Source organism: Homo sapiens, chromosome 12, assembly GCF_000001405.40.
Source record: "Homo sapiens chromosome 12, GRCh38.p14 Primary Assembly".
NCBI lineage: Eukaryota > Metazoa > Chordata > Mammalia > Primates > Hominidae > Homo > Homo sapiens.
In genome coordinates this window covers 122310845-122328924 of record NC_000012.12, presented here as the reverse complement: position 1 = coordinate 122328924, position 18080 = coordinate 122310845, and the positions used below count along the sequence as shown (strand labels likewise).

At 44.2% G+C, this 18080-nt stretch overlaps 1 protein-coding gene and 1 pseudogene across 24 annotated transcripts in view, besides 2 other annotated features; both read left to right on the top strand.

Moving 5' to 3' along the window:
* CLIP1 (CAP-Gly domain containing linker protein 1) overlaps positions 1 to 18080 on the top strand; it is a 151488-nt gene that overhangs the window by 94032 nt on the left and 39376 nt on the right. For 23 of the 24 annotated variants that reach the window (XM_047429314.1, XM_047429321.1, XM_047429320.1 and 20 more), the window contains 4 exons: positions 499 to 664; positions 763 to 978; positions 9577 to 9693; positions 12070 to 12176. In XM_047429314.1, the coding sequence (XP_047285270.1) occupies positions 499 to 664; positions 763 to 978; positions 9577 to 9693; positions 12070 to 12176 (606 nt within the window). Of the gene's footprint in view, positions 1 to 498; positions 665 to 762; positions 979 to 4543; positions 6812 to 9576; positions 9694 to 12069; positions 12177 to 18080 lie in introns of all 24 variants that reach the window. The other variant, NM_001389291.1, reaches the window with a different exon arrangement.
* Positions 5078 to 6751, top strand: CCDC150P1 (coiled-coil domain containing 150 pseudogene 1; annotated as a pseudogene).
* Positions 15217 to 15717: an enhancer, noted in NCBI's record as "H3K27ac hESC enhancer chr12:122797755-122798255 (GRCh37/hg19 assembly coordinates)". NCBI's record gives its function as "activates a minimal SCP1, AML or CMV promoter by ChIP-STARR-seq in primed H9 embryonic stem cells {active_cell/tissue: H9 hESC(primed)}" and the evidence as "EXISTENCE:reporter gene assay evidence [ECO:0000049][PMID:30033119]".
* Positions 15718 to 16218: an enhancer, noted in NCBI's record as "H3K27ac hESC enhancer chr12:122797254-122797754 (GRCh37/hg19 assembly coordinates)". NCBI's record gives its function as "activates a minimal SCP1, AML or CMV promoter by ChIP-STARR-seq in primed H9 embryonic stem cells {active_cell/tissue: H9 hESC(primed)}" and the evidence as "EXISTENCE:reporter gene assay evidence [ECO:0000049][PMID:30033119]".

The following is an 18080-nucleotide window of genomic DNA, read 5'->3' as shown; positions in this document are numbered from 1 at the left end:
CTGGTAAAATGATTATTTAGGCAAAGCATTTTAAAATTTCTTGTGCCCAGGCATGGTGGCTCACGCCTGTAATCCTAACACTTTGGGAGGCCGAGGCAGGCGAATCACGAGGCCAGGAGATCGAGACCATCCTGGCTAACACGGTGAAACCCTGTCTCTACTAAAAATACAAAAAAGTAGCCAGGCGTGCTGGCAGGTGCCTGTAGTCCCAGCTACTGGGGAGGCTGAGGCAGAATGGCATGAACCCGGGAGGCGGAGCTTGCAGTGAGCGGAGATCATGCCACTGCACTCCAGCCTGTGCGACAGAGCGAGACTCCGCCCCCCCAAAACAAAACAAAACAAAACAAAACAAAACAAAATTTCTTGCCTAGTTCTGATGTTATTAATTACACATAACTTTTGAAAATAATTACAATTATTAATAGTATATTTTAATATAACTTAAATTTAAAACATTCTTATGAAAAATCTGACACCTTATATTGAAACTTTTTCTAGAGATGTAGAAGAATTACAGCTAAAACTTACAAAGGCTAATGAAAATGCAAGTTTTCTGCAAAAAAGTATTGAGGACATGACTGTCAAAGCTGAACAGAGCCAGCAAGAAGCAGCTAAAAAGCATGAGGAAGAAAAGAAAGAATTGGAGAGGAAATTGTCGGACCTGGTAAGGAGATACTCAGTGGGCCTGTTGGCTGGCAAGGAAGGCAAGGGATAGTACACGCATGGGCAGATGACTCATTCCCTCATTCGGGGTCTCTGCAGGAAAAGAAAATGGAAACAAGCCACAACCAGTGTCAGGAGCTGAAAGCCAGGTATGAGAGAGCCACTTCTGAGACAAAAACCAAGCATGAAGAAATCCTACAGAACCTCCAGAAGACGCTGCTGGACACAGAGGACAAGCTGAAGGGCGCACGGGAGGAGAACAGTGGCTTGCTGCAGGAGCTGGAGGAGCTGAGAAAGCAAGCCGACAAAGCCAAAGTACGTGACGCGAGAGAATTTCCTTGTGTTGTAGCTTGCCTGAGCTCTGTGTCGAGGCAGGAAGGGTGCTTAGAAAGCAGCAGCCAGTGGGAAAAGTTAAGGTGGCCTCTACAGACGTTACCCTTCTGAGTGCGTGGCAGGGTGGTACATTACATTTCCTATGGCTTCAAGTGTTTTGTGCCAGCTGCTGTTCCTTCTCGGACGGTGTTTCCTGCCAGTCTTTCCTGGAATGGACTGTGTAGCCATCACCCCTGTGCTGCTTGTTTCCCAGAGGTCACAAAGGTTCTTTCGTTGCCTGAGCTCTGCTTGCCTGCTTGTTCCTCTAATCTTGGCCGTGCTTGTTGCTGCCTTGCACTAGGGTTTGGAGAGATGTTGCGATAAAGCAAGAGGCAGAGGTCACATGAAGTAAGCAAGCAAGGAATCAGGACTAGAGAGAGCCTGGTTGGAGGAACAGAGCTCTTCTAGGAAGAGTTAGAATTGAGAACTCCACAGAGGGCTTTATGTGTCCCCAGGAAGGTACTGTGAGCTTATTGACAAGGAAGCTGGATTCAAGGGCAGGGAGGAAACACCTTGTTAGTAGATAGAGCAGAATTTGATATGTTGGATTTCATTTTATGGTTTTAGGATTGTATCTGTGCCCAATATATATTTTTTCTTTTTTTTGTAGAGAATGGGGTCTTGCTGTGTTGCCCAGGCTGGTCTCAAACTCCTGGGCTCAAGCAGTCCTCCCATCTTGGCCTCTTAAAGTGTTGGGATTACAGGTGTGAGCCACCATGCCTGGCCTGCCCAGTACATTTTGTGACTCTGGTAACTTCACGAAGTTCAACCTTGCCCACTGTTTAACCTTCTATTGCTCAAAGGAAAGTAAATATTCACCTTTCTTTATTTTTAATGTGTTTATAGGAGTTTAGTAGAAAGAAATGATAAAAGAGCATATATAGGACTTGAAACCAATCTCATGAAAAGCCTCTTGCTAACTAAGTGGACATGACATGGTATGTGTGTGCCGTGCATGTCATCTGGGAGGCCCATATTCTCCCTCTTCTACATGCTGATAGTTGAGGATTTCTCTTCTTTCTGTGAAATACCTCCAGTTTTATGAGCCATTTAACACTAGATACAATTCCCAGATCTTTTGTCTTTGTGGTTTCCTTTATCTGTGCAGACTTCAGTTTTTTTTTTGTATTTCCTTTAAAATGTTTCAGCCTGAGCAAACCACAGCATCGCAGAAGCTGATGTAAGGTCTCCTCGGTTGTTGTTTGTTTTTTTGAGACAAGGTCTCACTCTGTCACCCAGGCTGAGTGCAGCGGCACAGTCATGGCTCACTGCAGCCTCAACCTCTCGGGCTCAAGTGATCCCCTTGCCTCAGCTTCCCAAGTAGCTGAGACTAAAAGCACGTGCCACTACACCTGGCTAATTTTTTATTTTTTGTAGAGACAGAGTCTCGCTATGTTGCTCAGGCTGGTCTCGAACCCCTGGATGCAAGCGATCCACCTGCTTCAGCTTCCCAAGGTGCTGGGATTGCAGGCGTGATTCATCGTTCCTGGCCAGTCTCACAAGGCGCTGGGGTTGCAGGCGTGAGCCACCATTCCTGGCCAGTCTCACAAGGCGCTGGGGTTGCAGGCGTGAGCCACCATTCCTGGCCAGTCTCACAAGGTGCTGGGATTGCAGGCATGAGCCACCATTCCTGGCCAGTCTCACTGATTTTGTTGGTTGGTTTTGTGCAAGAGTCATTGAGTTAAAAATGCCAGGACTGTTCCCCTCCAAACGTGTCTAGTATCTAATTTCAGTGGATCGTAATCAGTCCCAGACTCTTTGGAATAATCTAATGAAATCTACAGATATTTTTTCAGGAAAGTTTACGTGTGCACTCAACAAGGTTCCTGGAACCCATGAAGCCTCCTATTCCCTACTTTTAAGAGCCAGTGGGCTATAGCTGTGCTGCCTAATGTAGTAGCCACCAGCCATGTGAGGCCATTCAAATGTAAATTTGTAGCCAGTTCTGGTGGCTCACGCCTGTAATCCTAGCACTTTGGGAGGCCAAGGTGGGCAGATTGCCTGAGCACAGGAGTTTGAGACCACCCTGGACAACATCGTGAGACCGTCTCTACTACAAATACAAAAAATTAATTGGGTGTGGTGGCACACACCTGTAGTCCCAGCTACTCAGGAGGCTGAGGCAGGAGAATCCTTTGAGCCTGGGAGGCGGAGGCTGCAGTGAGCTGAGATGGTGCCACTGCACTCTGGCCTGGGTGACAGAGTGAGACTGTCTCAAAAAATAAATAAAAATAAAAACCTTAATATGGGAATATATGCGGTCTACATTATTTTCTCTATTTTTGTATATGCTTAAAAGAGGATCGCTTGAAACTGGGAGGCAGAGGTTGCAGTGAGCCGAGATCGCGCCACTTCCCTCCAGCCTGGGCCACAGAGTGAGACTCTGCCTCCAAAATAAATAAATAAATAAATAAATTTAAATTTGTTACATTTTAATTAAAAATTTAGCTCCTCAGTTGCACTCACCACATTTCAGGTGCTCAGTAGTCATATGGTCACCATGATGGGAGTGCAAATAAGAACATTTATATCAGCTGGGCGTGGTGGCTCATGCCTGTAATCCCAGCACTTCGGGAGGCCTAGGTGGGTGGATCACTTGGGGTCAGGAGTTTGAGACCAGCCTGGCCAACATGGTGAAACCCCGTCTCTACTAAAAATACAAAAATTAGCCGGGCACGGTGGCGGAGCCTTGTAATCCCAGCTACTTGGGAGGCTGAGGCATGAGAATAGCTTGAACCCAGAGGCGGAGGTTGCAGTGAGCCAAGATCGCACCATTGCACTCCAGCCTGGGCAATAGATAGAGCGAGACTCAGTCTCAAAAAAAAAAAAAAAAAATTATATCATTGCAGAAAGTTCTGGATAGCACTGGTATAGACACTGTGGTCAAATTATCTTATAATTCAGTAAATAAAAAAAAAAAACTATTCCTTTTAGTCAGCAAAGCCTAGAAATTAGGCTGTAGTTTTTAAGTTATATGTGATATTGGGACTAAATCACTCTCAGCCCCTCAGCTACCCTTAAGTAAGGTCCTGTGGTGAGTTTGGAAGGCAGTAGTTTATTTTCCCTTGTTATGCCCCTTCCTTTTTTCATTAAAATATACTGAGTTTTTGTACTTCTTTTAATTGTATTTTTAAAAATTGTTCTATGAATCCTTTCTGCTTTCAAAGTAATTTGATAATTGGAATGGCAGGAAAGAATCTTATGCCCTGATATTAAAATCAAGCTACTATTTTTATCTTCTAGGTAGCTACTGGGAATAATTTCACAAGTTGTTTCAAAGATAAAATAAGCTAACAGATACAGAAGCACTTTGCAAAACTACACTTTTGACTTACCTTTTTATGGGCTCTGTTTAGTTTCTTTCCCTTGTTATTCAGATAGTTTCTATAAAGTTTATTGTAGAAATTGTAAAGTTTTTATCATTTAGGTTACATTAAGTTATTTGGGCTTGCATTTGTCTGCTTGATTTCATTTTTGTTTCCATTCTTTCCATCTTTTGTTTCTGTAGTCGCTAACTTATTTGTTAACATCAGCCAAAAAAGAAATTGAACTAATGTCAGAAGAGCTGAGGGGTCTGAAATCAGAGAAGCAGCTTCTTTCTCAGGAGGGAAATGATTTAAAGTTAGAAAACGGTTCACTTTTATCCAAGCTTGTAGAATTGGAGGCCAAAATAGCTTTACTTCAGGGAGACCAGCAGAAACTGTGGTCAGTGAATGAAACTCTTAATTTAGAAAAGGAGAAATTCTTAGAAGAAAAGCAAGATGCCGAAAAGTATTATGAGCAGGAACATCTCAATAAAGAAGCTTTGGCTGTTGAGAGAGAGAAATTGCTTAAAGAAATCAATGTTGTACAGGAAGAACTCTTGAAGATAAATGTGGAAAATGACTCTTTGCAAGCTTCCAAGGTGAGCATGCAGGCACTCATTGAAGAGCTCCAGCTCAGCAAAGATACTTTGATTGCTAAGACTGAGAAGGACCAGGAAGAAAAAGATCACCTGGAGGACCAGATCAAGAAACTTATTACCGAAAACTTCATCTTGGCCAAAGATAAGGATGACATCATTCAGAAGCTTCAAAGGTCTTATGAGGAGCTAGTCAAAGATCAGAAAGCTTTGGTACAGGAGACTGAAGATCTCACAGCTGAGAAAAAGTCAGCTTTAGAGAAATTGTCCAATCTCGATAACACGTGCATAGCCTTAAAGGTAGAACGAGATAATGTTCTTCAGAACAACAGAAATCTGCAGTTAGAGACGGACATGCTGCTTCAAGATCAGGAAAAGCTGAATGCCAGCCTCCAGGCCGCTCTCCAGGTCAAACAGCTGCTCCGCTCAGAAGCCAGTGGGCTCCGCGCACAGCTGGATGATGCCAGCAAGGCCCTGAGGAAGGCAGAGCTGGAGACCGTGCAACTCGAGGCCGCAAACACAAGCCTCACGAAGCTCTTGGAGGAAATTAAGGCCAGGCGGGCGGTCACGGACTCCGAGTGCATCCAGCTTCTGCATGAGAAAGAAACCTTGGCTGCCTCCGAGAGAAGGCTCTTGGCTGAGAAAGAGGAACTTTTAAGTGAAAATAGAATAATCACTGAAAAACTCCACAAATGCTTAGAAGAGGCTGCCCATACTGAGATGAGCCTGAATGAGAAGATCACTTACCTGACTTCCGAGAAGGAGATGGCTTCTCAGAAAATGACTGAACTTAAAAAGCAGCAGGATAGTCTCTTGAAAGAAAAATCCTCACTGGAAACGCAAAATGGAGCTTTACTTGCAGAGAGAGAGAATTCCATCAAAGCCATAGGAGACCTCAAAAGGCAATGTGATCAAGAGTCTGCAAACAGAAGTTTAGTTGTGCAAGAGAATATGAAACTCCTCGGTAATATTGATGCTCTGAAGAAGGAGCTTCAAGAGAGAAAAAAGGAAAACCAAGAACTAGTGGCCAGCAAGTGCGACCTCTCTTTGATGCTGAAAGAGGCTCAAAATACCAAAAAGAATCTGGAAAAAGAACACACTCACATATTGCAAGCAAAGGAGAGTTTGGATGCTCAACTTAACACGTGTTGTTCCGAGAAGAACATTTTGCTGAGAGATGGCTTGAACCTGCAAGAAGAGTGTCACAAATTAAGCAAGGAGATCCAGGAAATGCAGCAGTCCTTAATCCTGGAACAGGAAGCCAGAGCAAAGGAGAGCGAGTCATCCTTGTACGAAAACAATCAACTTCACGGGAGGATGGTGCTCCTGGAGCAGGAGGTGGAGGAGTTAAGAGTGTGTATCGAGGAGCTGCAGTCCGAGAAGTTTGTGCTACTTCAAGAGAAGAGCAAATCAGAGCAAGAACTGGCAGAGATAATCGAGGAGAAGGAACTGTTGACTGCAGAAGCAGCTCAACTTGCTGCCCATATAAAGACTCTGAAAAGTGATTTTGCTGCCTTGTCCAAATCCAAGGCAGAGCTGCAGGAACTGCACAGCTGCCTCACCAAGATTCTGGATGACCTTCAGCGGAACCATGAGGTGACCCTGGCCGAAAAAGCCCAGGTGATGCAAGACAACCAGAACCTCCTGGCTGAGAAGAGCGAAATGATGCTGGAAAAGGATGAGCTCCTGAAGGAGAAGGAAACCCTGGCAGAAAGCTACTTCATCCTTCAGAAAGAGATCAGCCAGTTGGCCAAAACCAACAGCCATATTTCAGCCAATCTCCTAGAATCTCAAAATGAAAACCGTACTTTGAGAAAAGACAAGAACAAGCTTACTCTTAAAATTAGAGAGCTCGAGACTCTTCAGTCATTTACGGTAAAGTGAGAGGGTCAAGTATTGAGCACCCAGACTGCTTACTAACACTGTGCACTAACTCAAGTGGTGTAGGTCATCTTTCTTCATTTCTGCTTATGGAAATCCACCTCATTAAGTCAGTTGCTTATATGTCTCAAGCTGTTCGTTACAGTCTGAAAGGGGGATTCTTTACTAAGTATCTCACTGTAGTAGTCTCTCCCCATTTGAAAAAAATTGCAAACTGTGAATAAAAAGGATTTATTTTTTAATCTAAGGAGAAACTTTATGAAAAAGCTTAAGAGCAATAGTGAAATTCGGCTGGGCGCAGTGGCTCACGCCTGTAATCCCAGCACTTTGGGAGGCTGAGGTGGACAGATGGCTTCAGTCTAGGAGTTCGAGACCAGCCTGGGCAACATGGCAAAACCCTGTCTCTACAAAAAATACAGTAATTAGCTGGGCATGGTGACACATGCCTATCGTCCCAGCTGCTCAGGAGGCTGAGATGAGAGGATTGCTTGAGCCCAGGAGGCAGAAGTTGCAGGAAACCGAGATCATGCCATTGCACTCCAGCCTGGTTGACAGAGCGAGACCCCATCTAAAAAAAAAGAACAGCCAGGTGTGGTGGCTCACGGGGGCTGAGGCAGGTGGATCACCTGAGGTCAGGAGTTCGAGACCAGCCTAACCAACATGGTGAAACCCTGTCTCTACTAAAAATACAAAAATTCGCCAGGCGTGGTGGCGTGCGCTTATAATCCCAGCTACTCAGGAGGCTGAGGCAGTAGAATCACTTGAATCCAGGAGATGGAGGTTGCAGTGAGCCGAGCTTGCGCCATTGCACTCCAGCCTGGGCAACAAGAGTGAAAAACTCTGTCTCAAGGGAAAAAAAAAAAAAGCAATAAATTGGCACATATTGAAATATAGTCTTCTGTTTGGCTTTTAACTATTTCATTGTGTCTGTCCATTTGGAGTTGGAAGATTCCATTGAAATCTTCATGGCTGATAATTGGATAGGGAAAAATGCAGAATTTTCATAAACTTTATTAGACCAATAAATTATAAACAAGTGCCTAAAGGACTTTATTTATTTATTTATTTATTTATTTATTTATTTATTTAAGACAGAGTCTCACCGGGTGCGGTGGCTTACACCTGTAATCCCAGCACTTTGGGAGGCTGTTGCAGGCGGATCACGAGATCAGAAGATCAAGACCATCCTGGCCAACATGGTGAAACCCCGTCTCTACTAAAAATACAAAAATTAGCCCGGTGTGGTGATGTGGGCCTGTAGTTCCAGCTACTCAGGAGGCTGAGGCAGGAGAATCACTTGAACCAGGGAGGCGGAGGTTGCAGTGAGCTGAGATTGCACCACTGCGCTCCAGCCTGGTGACAGAATGAGACTGCCTAAAAAAAAAAAAAAGAGTCTCGCTCTGTCACCCAGGTTGGAGTACAGTGGTGTGACCTTGGCTCACTGCAACCTCTGCCTCCCGGGTTCAAGCGATTCTCCTGCCTCACCCTCTTGAGTAGCTGGGACTACAGGTGCGTGCTGCCACACCCGGCTAAGCTTTGTATTTTTAGTAGGGACTGGGTTTCACCATATTGACTCCTGACCTTGTGATCTGCCTGCCTCGGCCTCCCAAAGTGCTAGGATTACAGGCATGAGCCACTGCGCCTGGCCTGTTAATTAATTTATTTTTTTAGAGGTGGGAATCTTGCTGTGTTTCCCAGGCTACTTTCCACCTCCTGGGCTCAAGCAATCCTCCCGTCTCAGCTCCCTGAGTAGCTGGGACTGTAGGCACATGCTACCATGCCTAGCTATATTTTCATTTATTTTTATGGTTATTTTTACATCTAACTTTTTTTTTTTTTTTTGAGACGGAGTCTCGCTGTGTCGCCAGGCTGGAGTGCAGTGGCGCAATCTCAGCTCACTGCAACCTCCGCCTCCCAGGTTCACACCATTCTCCTGCCCCACCTCCCAAGTAGCTACAGGCACCCGCCACCACGGCCAGCTAGTTTTTTGTATTTTTATTAGAGACGGGGTTTCACTATGTTGGCCAGGATGGTCTCAATATCTTGACCTCGTGATCCGCCTGCCTCGGCCTCCCAAAGTGCTGGGATTACAGGCGTGAGCCACTGCGCCCGGCCTATATCTAACTTTTTATAATTAATTTTGATAGTTAACAGCTAAGAATTTGTCTCCATATGCATCTTTTTATTCACAGCCGTGTTTTTATTCATTACCCACAACTTGCATTAAATGCTTCTCGTTAAACACTTGAGCCTTATGTTAGAAGTGCCCAAATAATTTTTATATTTATTTGAAAAATTCTCAGCCTAAATTTGAGTGACTTTGAAAGCCCCAGATTTGAAATAGCAAGGATGGTATTTTAAACTTATAATAATAAATATGATTCCAAGAAATTCAGCTATATAAGGATGTTATTCATTGTTACCTCCGAACGGTCTCTCAAACATAAGTCAGAATGAAGGGAGCATGCTTGCCAGTGTCATTTGGAACTTTCACTGGAAGATGTATGTTTACATGCAAATTGCATAACAATTGACATTGAAAAATGGCAGGAAAGGGTCTGCATATTCTACTTCAGAGTAAAGACCTTTCCTGTCCTGGTCCGTCTGTTTCAGCACTGGATTGTGACTGATTCACCCTCTCTGTGTGCCTCCCTTACCCACACAGACACTGAGTGCTGCCTGAACAGCACAGCCCGATCCTCACCTAACGGTGTTGGCGAGGGCTGTCCTCATTTCTCACAGTGTTTCCTTGTATTTAGGCTGCTCAAACAGCGGAAGATGCCATGCAGATAATGGAACAGATGACCAAAGAGAAGACTGAGACTCTGGCCTCCTTGGAGGACACCAAGCAAACAAATGCAAAACTACAGAATGAAGTAATCAGATTTAAATAGCTTTTTATACAAAGAACAGCTTACCAACTTGGTAGAATGTTTGGTCACTGACTCAGGATTGCTTATGTTTTTGAAGTGTGTGACTTTACACAGGTTTGAAATGCATGCCAGAGCCACGATAATCTTAAATAAAGTGTATCACTTCATTACTTATTAGGATCAACTTTACAAATTGAGGAAAAAATCCTAATAGTGTGGCTAAGGTGACTGTTTACTGATGGCACTAGTGAGAGGAGGTACTGATGGCCTGCTCTAGCTTTTGTATCCTTGATCTTACATCACACACATTGTTTTTTCTCTTCTCTTTCCCAACTTTGAGCCACTAAGTTTTCTTCCTCAGCCCTGAGTCTGATGTAGGCCTTTTCTTGGCCCAATTCAGTACTGATTTCCTTTTGTGTCATCTTGAATGAGTCACTTTTGGAGCAGGGACAAATATGTGGCGTCAAGATATTTTGATTCTGTCCACAAGTAGCATTTCTCCTTCTGTGGCATTTCTCCTCCTCTTTGGATTTCCCTGCTCCCACCCTCCTAGCTCATACCAACCCTTTCTTCATTTGGAAAGCTGTTATCTAAATCCTAAGCCGACTGAGGCACCAAAATGGTTATGTGAAGTCCTGTGGAACTTCAGATGCTTTTTTGTTGTTGTTGCTTTTTTTGTTTTGTTTTGTTGTTGTTGTTTTGAGATGGAGTCTTGCTCTTGTTGCCCAGGCTGTTGTGCAATGGCATGATCTCGGCTCACTGCAACCTCCACCTCCTGGGTTCAAGTGATTCTCCTGCCTCAGCCTCCCGAGTAGCTGGGATTACAGGTGCCCACTACCACGCCTGGCTAATTTTTGTATTTTAAGTAGGGACGGAGTTTTGCCATGTTGGCCAGGCTGTTCTGGAACTCCTGACCTCGTGATCCTCCCACCTTGGCCTCCCAAAGGGCTGGGATTACAGGCATGAGCCACCACGCCCAGCCCAGATACTTTTAAAAGTAATAGGCAGGTAAGACATTAAGGAAGGAAAGCAAGGGGGAGGCAGTGGCCAAACTGAGGAGCCACTGTAAAGACCAGGCCTCCTCATTGTGGAGGTCAAGGATCAACTTTTCAAAGGAGATGAACATTTGGAGGTAATGATATGATAAATAACAACACTTCACATAGAAGGAAGTACATTTATAGAACTGACAATCCTAAGAGAAGATGACTTAAACTAAAAGTATAAAAGCATTAAAAAATCATAGCTGTTAATCAAAATTAGAAGCTGAAGTAAATGAGAGGATTTTAGGGAATGTGTCTAACCTGCAGCAGTGGAACCAGGGGGAACTGTGTCGTTCTATAACAGATCCCTTGGTGTCTTTGTTATAGCCAGAATTCAGGGTTGGATGAACCATATTTTCGGACCCATTGTGATATTTTATTTTTCTTGTTCTGTTAATCTGGAATGTTAGGTGTTAAAAGGAAGATGGTAGTTGTAAAACTAGCAAGACATTTTCTAGGACTCCTGACTGGTGGCATGTGGCATGGCAAAAGGAGATAGCTCCCTTTTCTGGCTGTAGGAGACAACTTCTCAAGGCCCAGAAAGCCAGCATGGCCCCAGGAGCCACCTTGAGGAATGGAGGCCCACATGAGCTACCATCCTTGGTGGTGGCTCTGCACCTAGAGCTCCAACCACCTGCCACAGCCTATGATCAGTCATATCCCCACTCATCCCAGTGACAGCTCTGGCTTTCCACCAAGAGCCAGGCCCTCAGCTGGCTGCATCCCCGTGGGCCAATGATGGAGCCAGGTGGGTGTAAGTGCCCTTCAGTCCCACGACATGGCTTTTTCCTCTTCAGGTTCAAGTTCAGATGGGTAACTAAATTTTTTTCCAGTCTACAAATAATTTTGATTCAAATAAATAATTTTTGTAATGAGGACTATGTAAATCTGGTACTGACATTGAAAAATATCGTATCCTAAATCACTAATCTTTGGGGAAAGAAAAGGGTTTCTTTTCATTACAAAGAATAATCCTTGCTGATGTCATTGCTTTGCATTTTATTTCTTGTTTTTAATCATATTTGAATAGCAAGTTCAGTGATAAGTGCTGATAATTGTACACAAGATAAAAGAAAACTTTACTTCTGTGTAGCAATCTAGTTTGACCTTTTGGCCAGGTGTACAGGATATATATATATCAGACTAAATGTAAGGAGGAGGTTTGCAGTTTGTAATAGACTTGTCATCTGTAATCTCTTCACCCAGGAGACTTTTTTTTTTTGCGAGTGACTAATTTCATCTGTCTTTTCAGTACACATTTTCATGAATAATTTGTTCATTCATGTCACTGGAAAATGAAATAATTTCATCAAGTTTTTTTCTCTTGGTCTTTAAGTTGGACACACTTAAAGAAAACAACTTGAAAAATGTGGAAGAGCTGAACAAATCAAAAGAACTCCTGACTGTAGAGAATCAAAAAATGGAAGAATTTAGGAAAGAAATGTAAGTTTCTATCCTTTGAGAAAAAAATATGGAATTTATTTTAAATTGAAAATGTGAACACAATGCTAATTACTTAAAAATTATTTGAGAAGTACATAAAGTAAACGTATGCAGACTCTATTGCATACCCCAGAAGCAACATCAGTAACCACCGTGAGGTCAGAGCCACAGCTAAGTTAAAGGATCAGAATGAAATGTGTACTGGCTGATGAGTTCAGTTGGGGATTCAGATGTGACTTTGGGGTGGGTGTGGTGGCACGTGCCTGTAATCCCATCACTGGGAGGCTGAGGTGGGTAGATCACTTGAGCCTGGGAGTTTGAGACCAGCCTGGGCAACACAGCAAAACCCTGTTTCTACAAAAAGTACAAAAATTAGTTGGGTATGGTGGTGTGTGCCTATTTGCCAATTACTCAGGAGGCTGAGGTGGGAGGATCGCTTGAGCCCAGCAGGTTGAGGCTGCAGTGAGCCATAATCGTGCCACTGCACTCCAGCCTGGGTGACAGAGTGAGATCCTGTCTCAAAAAAAAAAAAAGAAGTGACTCGAAAGCCTTGAAAGTACGAGTAGAATCAGAACAGCCAGTCTTAACATTTGGTCTTGAACTTCCGACCTCAAGTGATCCTCCCTCCTCAGCCTCCCAAAGTTCTGGGATTATAGGCATGAACCACTGCGCCTGGCCAGCCAATCTTAACATTTGGAAATGTCAGACCCTTCATTAGCAAGTCCCTCAAAACTCTTTTTATAGGGGGAAAAAAATCAAATAGCATGTCACTTTCTACATTTTCAGTATTTCAATTTTAAGAGTAATAGACCAGGCACGGTGGTTCATGCCTGTAATCCCAGCACTTTGGGAGGCTGAGGTGGGTGGAGCACGAAGTCAGGAGATTGAGACCATCCTGGCTAACACGGTGAAACCCCGTCTCTACTAAAAATACAAAGAAATTAGCCGGGCGTGGTGGCGGACGCCTGTAGTCTCAGCTACTCAGGAGGCTAAGGCAGGAGAATGGCGTGAACCCGGGAGGCGGAGTTTGCAGTGAGCCGAGATCGAGCCACTGCACTCCAGCCTGGGTGACAGAGCGAGACTCCATCTCAAAAAAAAAAAAAGAAAAGGAATCAAACCGTCTGGCATGGAAATGAAATGACCAGCATTTTGGAAGACTGTAAAATTAAGGTTTACACATCAATTTGTTACGTGGTTTCAGGCAGACAGACTGTTCATACTTCCTTTGTTGATGCTAACTCAGTTCTTGCCTTTCAAGTTTGGCTAGTGTAGTTATTAGAGATTGGCATTTTCAGACATTTTAAAGGATAGTTACGGTGTAGATTTCATTTGGTCTTCTATTCTGTTAATGACACTGTATCAACCGTATTAACCTAAAACCCTAAAGCTAATTCACCTGGTGAACATTGGAGTGTGTCTTTGTCTTTCATGGTAGGTACAGTTAAGGTAGGAAGGATAAAAAGGTGAGTATATACGGTCCCTGCCCTTCAAGGGTTTGTGTCTTTTATTTCCAATCCTAATACATAGATGAGATTCAAGCAAAAACAAAAACATCAGTTCCAAACTGCTGTTTTAAGTCATCATCCTCAATACTATTTGTTGATTGAGCTTGGATTAAGCTAGCACATGTGTGGTTCTTCGGGGAGTTTTAAAATTTTCCTGGGAGTGATCTGAGCTGCTCCTGCGAGGGGATGCACAGCTTGTGATGTCGGTGATTTTCTTCCTCAGTCCTAGTTTAAATGGCGGGTCTCTAGATGATGGGATTATGTTTAAACAGTTCCAACAATTTCATTTATGCAGATTTATAAATTTACAATTGTGATTATGGTCATCAGGGGAGGCTTCAATTTCCTTGGCCTGCCAACATCAAGTGACACAAATAGAAGATGGGTCACCATGACAGGAAAAACAAAGTCATTTGTTGTAATGTGACAGTTTAGTTCTATTCATTCAGGAAGCAGGGTGCAGGTACAGATTAGGATTTCTTTTCTTGGTGACACGAGTCATTTTGCAAACCTGAAGGGCTTTGGGGCACCAGGTTGAATTCCTGCATTGTGTCCCATGGGCAGCTGGTGAGAGAGAATGTGAACTGCCACGAGAGACTCCCTCTCCAACCTGCACTGCCATAATCCCACCGCCAAGCTCCCTGGGTCCTACTAGGTGATGGAGGGGCAGGGCCAAGTGGACCTGGCCAAGAGGGTTCTTGGGGTTTAGATAAAATTCCATTTTCCTGCAGTACTACTTACGAGTCTTTTGTTGTTTTTATTTGTTTGTTTGTTTCTGAGACAGAGTCTCTGTTCCCCAGACTGGAGTGTAGTAGTGTGATCTCTGCTCACCACGACCTCTGCCTCCTGGGTTCAAGCAGTTTTCGTGCCTCAACCTCCCAAGTAGCTGAGATTACAGGCGCGCGTCGCCATGCCCAGCTAATTTTTTTGTACTTTTTTTTTTTTTTTTTTTTGAGATGGAGTCTCACCCTTTAGCCCAGGCTAGAGTGCAGTGGTGCAGTCTCGGCTCACTGCAACCTCCGCCTCCCGGGTTGAAGCGATTCTCCTGCCTCAGCCTCCCGAGCAGCTGGGATTACAGATGCCTGCCACCACACCCATCTAATTTTTGTATTTTTAGTAGAAACAGGGTTTCACCATATTCGCCAGGCTGTACTCGAACGCCTGACCTTGTGATCCGCCTGCCTCAGCCTCCCAAAGTGCTGGGATTACAGCTGTGAGCCACTGCGCCTGGCCATTTTTTTGTATTTTTAGTAGAGATGGGGTTTCACCATGTTGGCCAGGCTGGTCTTGAACTCCTGGCCTCAAATGATCTGCCCGCCTTGACCTCCCAAAGTGCTGGGATTACAGGCGGGAGCCACTGCACCTGGCTCTTAGGAGTCTTTTGTTGCGGTCATTACTAGTATTCCAGTGAGATCACCTTTAATGTTCAGAGTCCTCACTGAATCCTGTCACGTCACCTACCCTCAGTGTGGTGTTGGTTTCACCCTTATGAAGACATAGTTTTTTTTTGTTGTTGTTGTTGTTTTGAAATGGAGTTTTGCTCTTGTTGCCCAGGATGGAGTGCAGTGGCATGATCTTGGCTCACTGTAACCTCCACCTCCTGGGTTCAAGTGGTTCTCCTGCCTCAGTAGCTGGGATTACAGGCATGTACCACCGTGCCCAGCTAATTTTGTATTTTTAGTAGAGACGGGGTTTCTCCATGTTGATCAGGCTGGTCTCGAACTACCAACCTCAGGTGATCCGCCTGCCTCGGCCTCCCAAAGTACTGGGATTATAGGCATGAGCCACCACGCCCGGCCAGGTGACATAAATTGTTTTTGTGACCCCCTCCTTCGAATTATTCCGTTGACTAATAAAAGCTTAGCTGAGATTGTGGCTCCAGCTGCTGTCACGCTAACCCCAGCCTGTGCTGAGCTGTTCCTGGTGCTGTACTCCCCAGACCTCTGATCCCTGAACACATTCAGGTGGGGAGGGACCGGATCCCAGGGCAGAAAGAGCCTGGGCTGCTTTGGATTTTCTACTATTTTTCTGCCCCAACAGACCTGAGGGAATCACATCTTCCTGTCAGTGACTTGGCACAATATGGCTGGGACTGTTAACGGGAGGGAGGAACAGTGGGAGACACGCTGGTAGCGTTCCATGGAAGCTGGCACAGGAGGTATGGGGAGTAGGTTGAAAAAGCCCCTGCCCCTGATGACTGGTGGCTTTGTGGTCAGATTTCCAGGGCCTTCTGCGGTAAGAGGACTGTGTAATGGGAACAGTGCTTCTCAAAACAAAGCAGTCACTTTGCTATTCCTTAGTCTTATTCCTCAGAGCTCAAAGCTGGAGAATGAGCAGCTGCTTACTTCTTCCGTGGTTTAACGTGTATGGGGTTTTGCGTGTCCTCTGGAGCTTTTTTGGTGTTTCTCTTCACCTAATAGGACTGTGGTTCCTGGAGAAAAAGGGGCACCAATATAGACACAGGGTTTCTTATTTTTTTGAGACAGGGTGTCACTCTGTTGCCCTAGCTAGAGTACAGTGGCAGCAGTCTCAGCTCACTGCAGCCACCACCTCCCGGGTTTAATTCATCATGCCACCCCAGCCTCCCAAGTAGCTGGGATCACAGACATGCACCACCACGCCCAACTAATTTTTGTATTTTTAGTAGAGATGGGGTTTTGCCATGTTGGCCAGGCTGGTCTCGAACTCCTGGCCTCAAGTGATCCGCCTGCCTCAGCCTCCCAAAGTGCTGGGATTACAGGCTTGAGCCACTACGCTCAGCCACCACAAGGGTTCTAATAGGAACCCCTCCCTCTAGAATATTGCCCTTGCCCCTGGAAACCAGCACTTGTAACTGTTCTTTTCCTGTGTGCCACTTACAAGGCTGCTTTTAGGAAAGCTCTTGCTTGATTTCGGTTAGCCAGCTCCTATTTTCAGTTGTAGATAACAATGAAACAGTTTCTTGTGGTGTATAATTTTGGATCTTAGGGAAAAAAGGGCATAAGTAATCTAATTTTTGTCTTTACTAACCTGGCACAGTAGTAAATGTACAATACATTTAGCATGATAATAGATTTATGATGGATTCATAAGTAAAATGTTTACAATATTAACAATGTTTGTCTTTAGTTTTAAACCTAGTCTCTTCTGTGTCAAGGTATCTTGTCATGTAGAAAGAAAAGTAGCTTCTTTAAAAACCATTAGAAATATTTTTGTAGCTATTTTGAAAATCATTCCTTGAGTATTTCCAGAATTTGGGTTATTGGAGCCTCTTTCCTCTATGAAATGGATTCACCCACTACCCACTAAAGAAAAAACAAAGTGCTCTATATCTGAACCACGACTGAAGTCATCTGCCAGCTGTAGCTCCTGTTCTTGTGGTTTTGCTGCTTTCTGGCTTTATGATTTGGGGCAAATCTGTTTACTTCCCGGAGCTTCAGTCTTCTCATTAAAACATAAATGACATGAGCCTCCTTGGGCTTTGAGGATTAAATGAGAAAATGGACATGGAAGCATTTTGTAAATTTTAAAACAATAATTTTGGCCGGGCGCGGTGGCTCATGCCTGTAATCCCAGCACTTTGGGAGGCCGAGGCGGGCAGATCACGAGGTCAAGAGATCCAGACCATCCTGGCCAACATGATGAAACCCCGTCTCTACTAAAAATACAAAAATTGGCTGGGCGCGGTGGCGGACACCTGTAGTCCCAGTTACTCAGGAGGCTGAGGCAGGAGAATGGCGTGAACCTGGGAGGTGGAGCTTGCAGTGAGCCGAGTTCGTGCCACTGCACTCCAGCCTGGGCGACAGAGCGAGACTCTGTCTCAAAAAAAAAAAAATAATAATAATAATAATTTTGTTTTTATAGGTCAATGCTTTAGGATACTTTGGCCACTTTTAGATTACTTCCTTGATGTGTCGTTTTTATTTTCCTTCCTGTGGGCTTGAGAGAGAAGGAACAGGAGTATAAGCGTAGCACTTTGACAGGCCACACACATGCAGACACCATGTAGCCACTCATGAAGGCAGTGACCACCTGGGAAATATGTTTAGCTTATGGTAATTTTACCATAAGGAAATTTGATTTGTCAAAGATTGATGGACTTTGGACAGATGAACTTTCACTGTGATATGTGTGTATGTGCATGTATATACATATATACATATATAGAGAGAGATTCATATATATGCATCTCTTTTGTGAGTGACTAGCTGAGGCTAAAATTCCTTCTCAGTTTATCTTCAATTGCTAAATAAACATCTCTGTAAAAAGCCTAATTTAGTGTGCTAAGAGAATTTTTGTGTGGATTTATTTCCCTAAGTCTTCCTGAGGTCATCCCAGTGTGCATATTATAGGTGGATGGAGAATTAAAAATTGAGAAAATCGAATGTGCCGAGAACTGCCACCCATTAGACAATTGAAG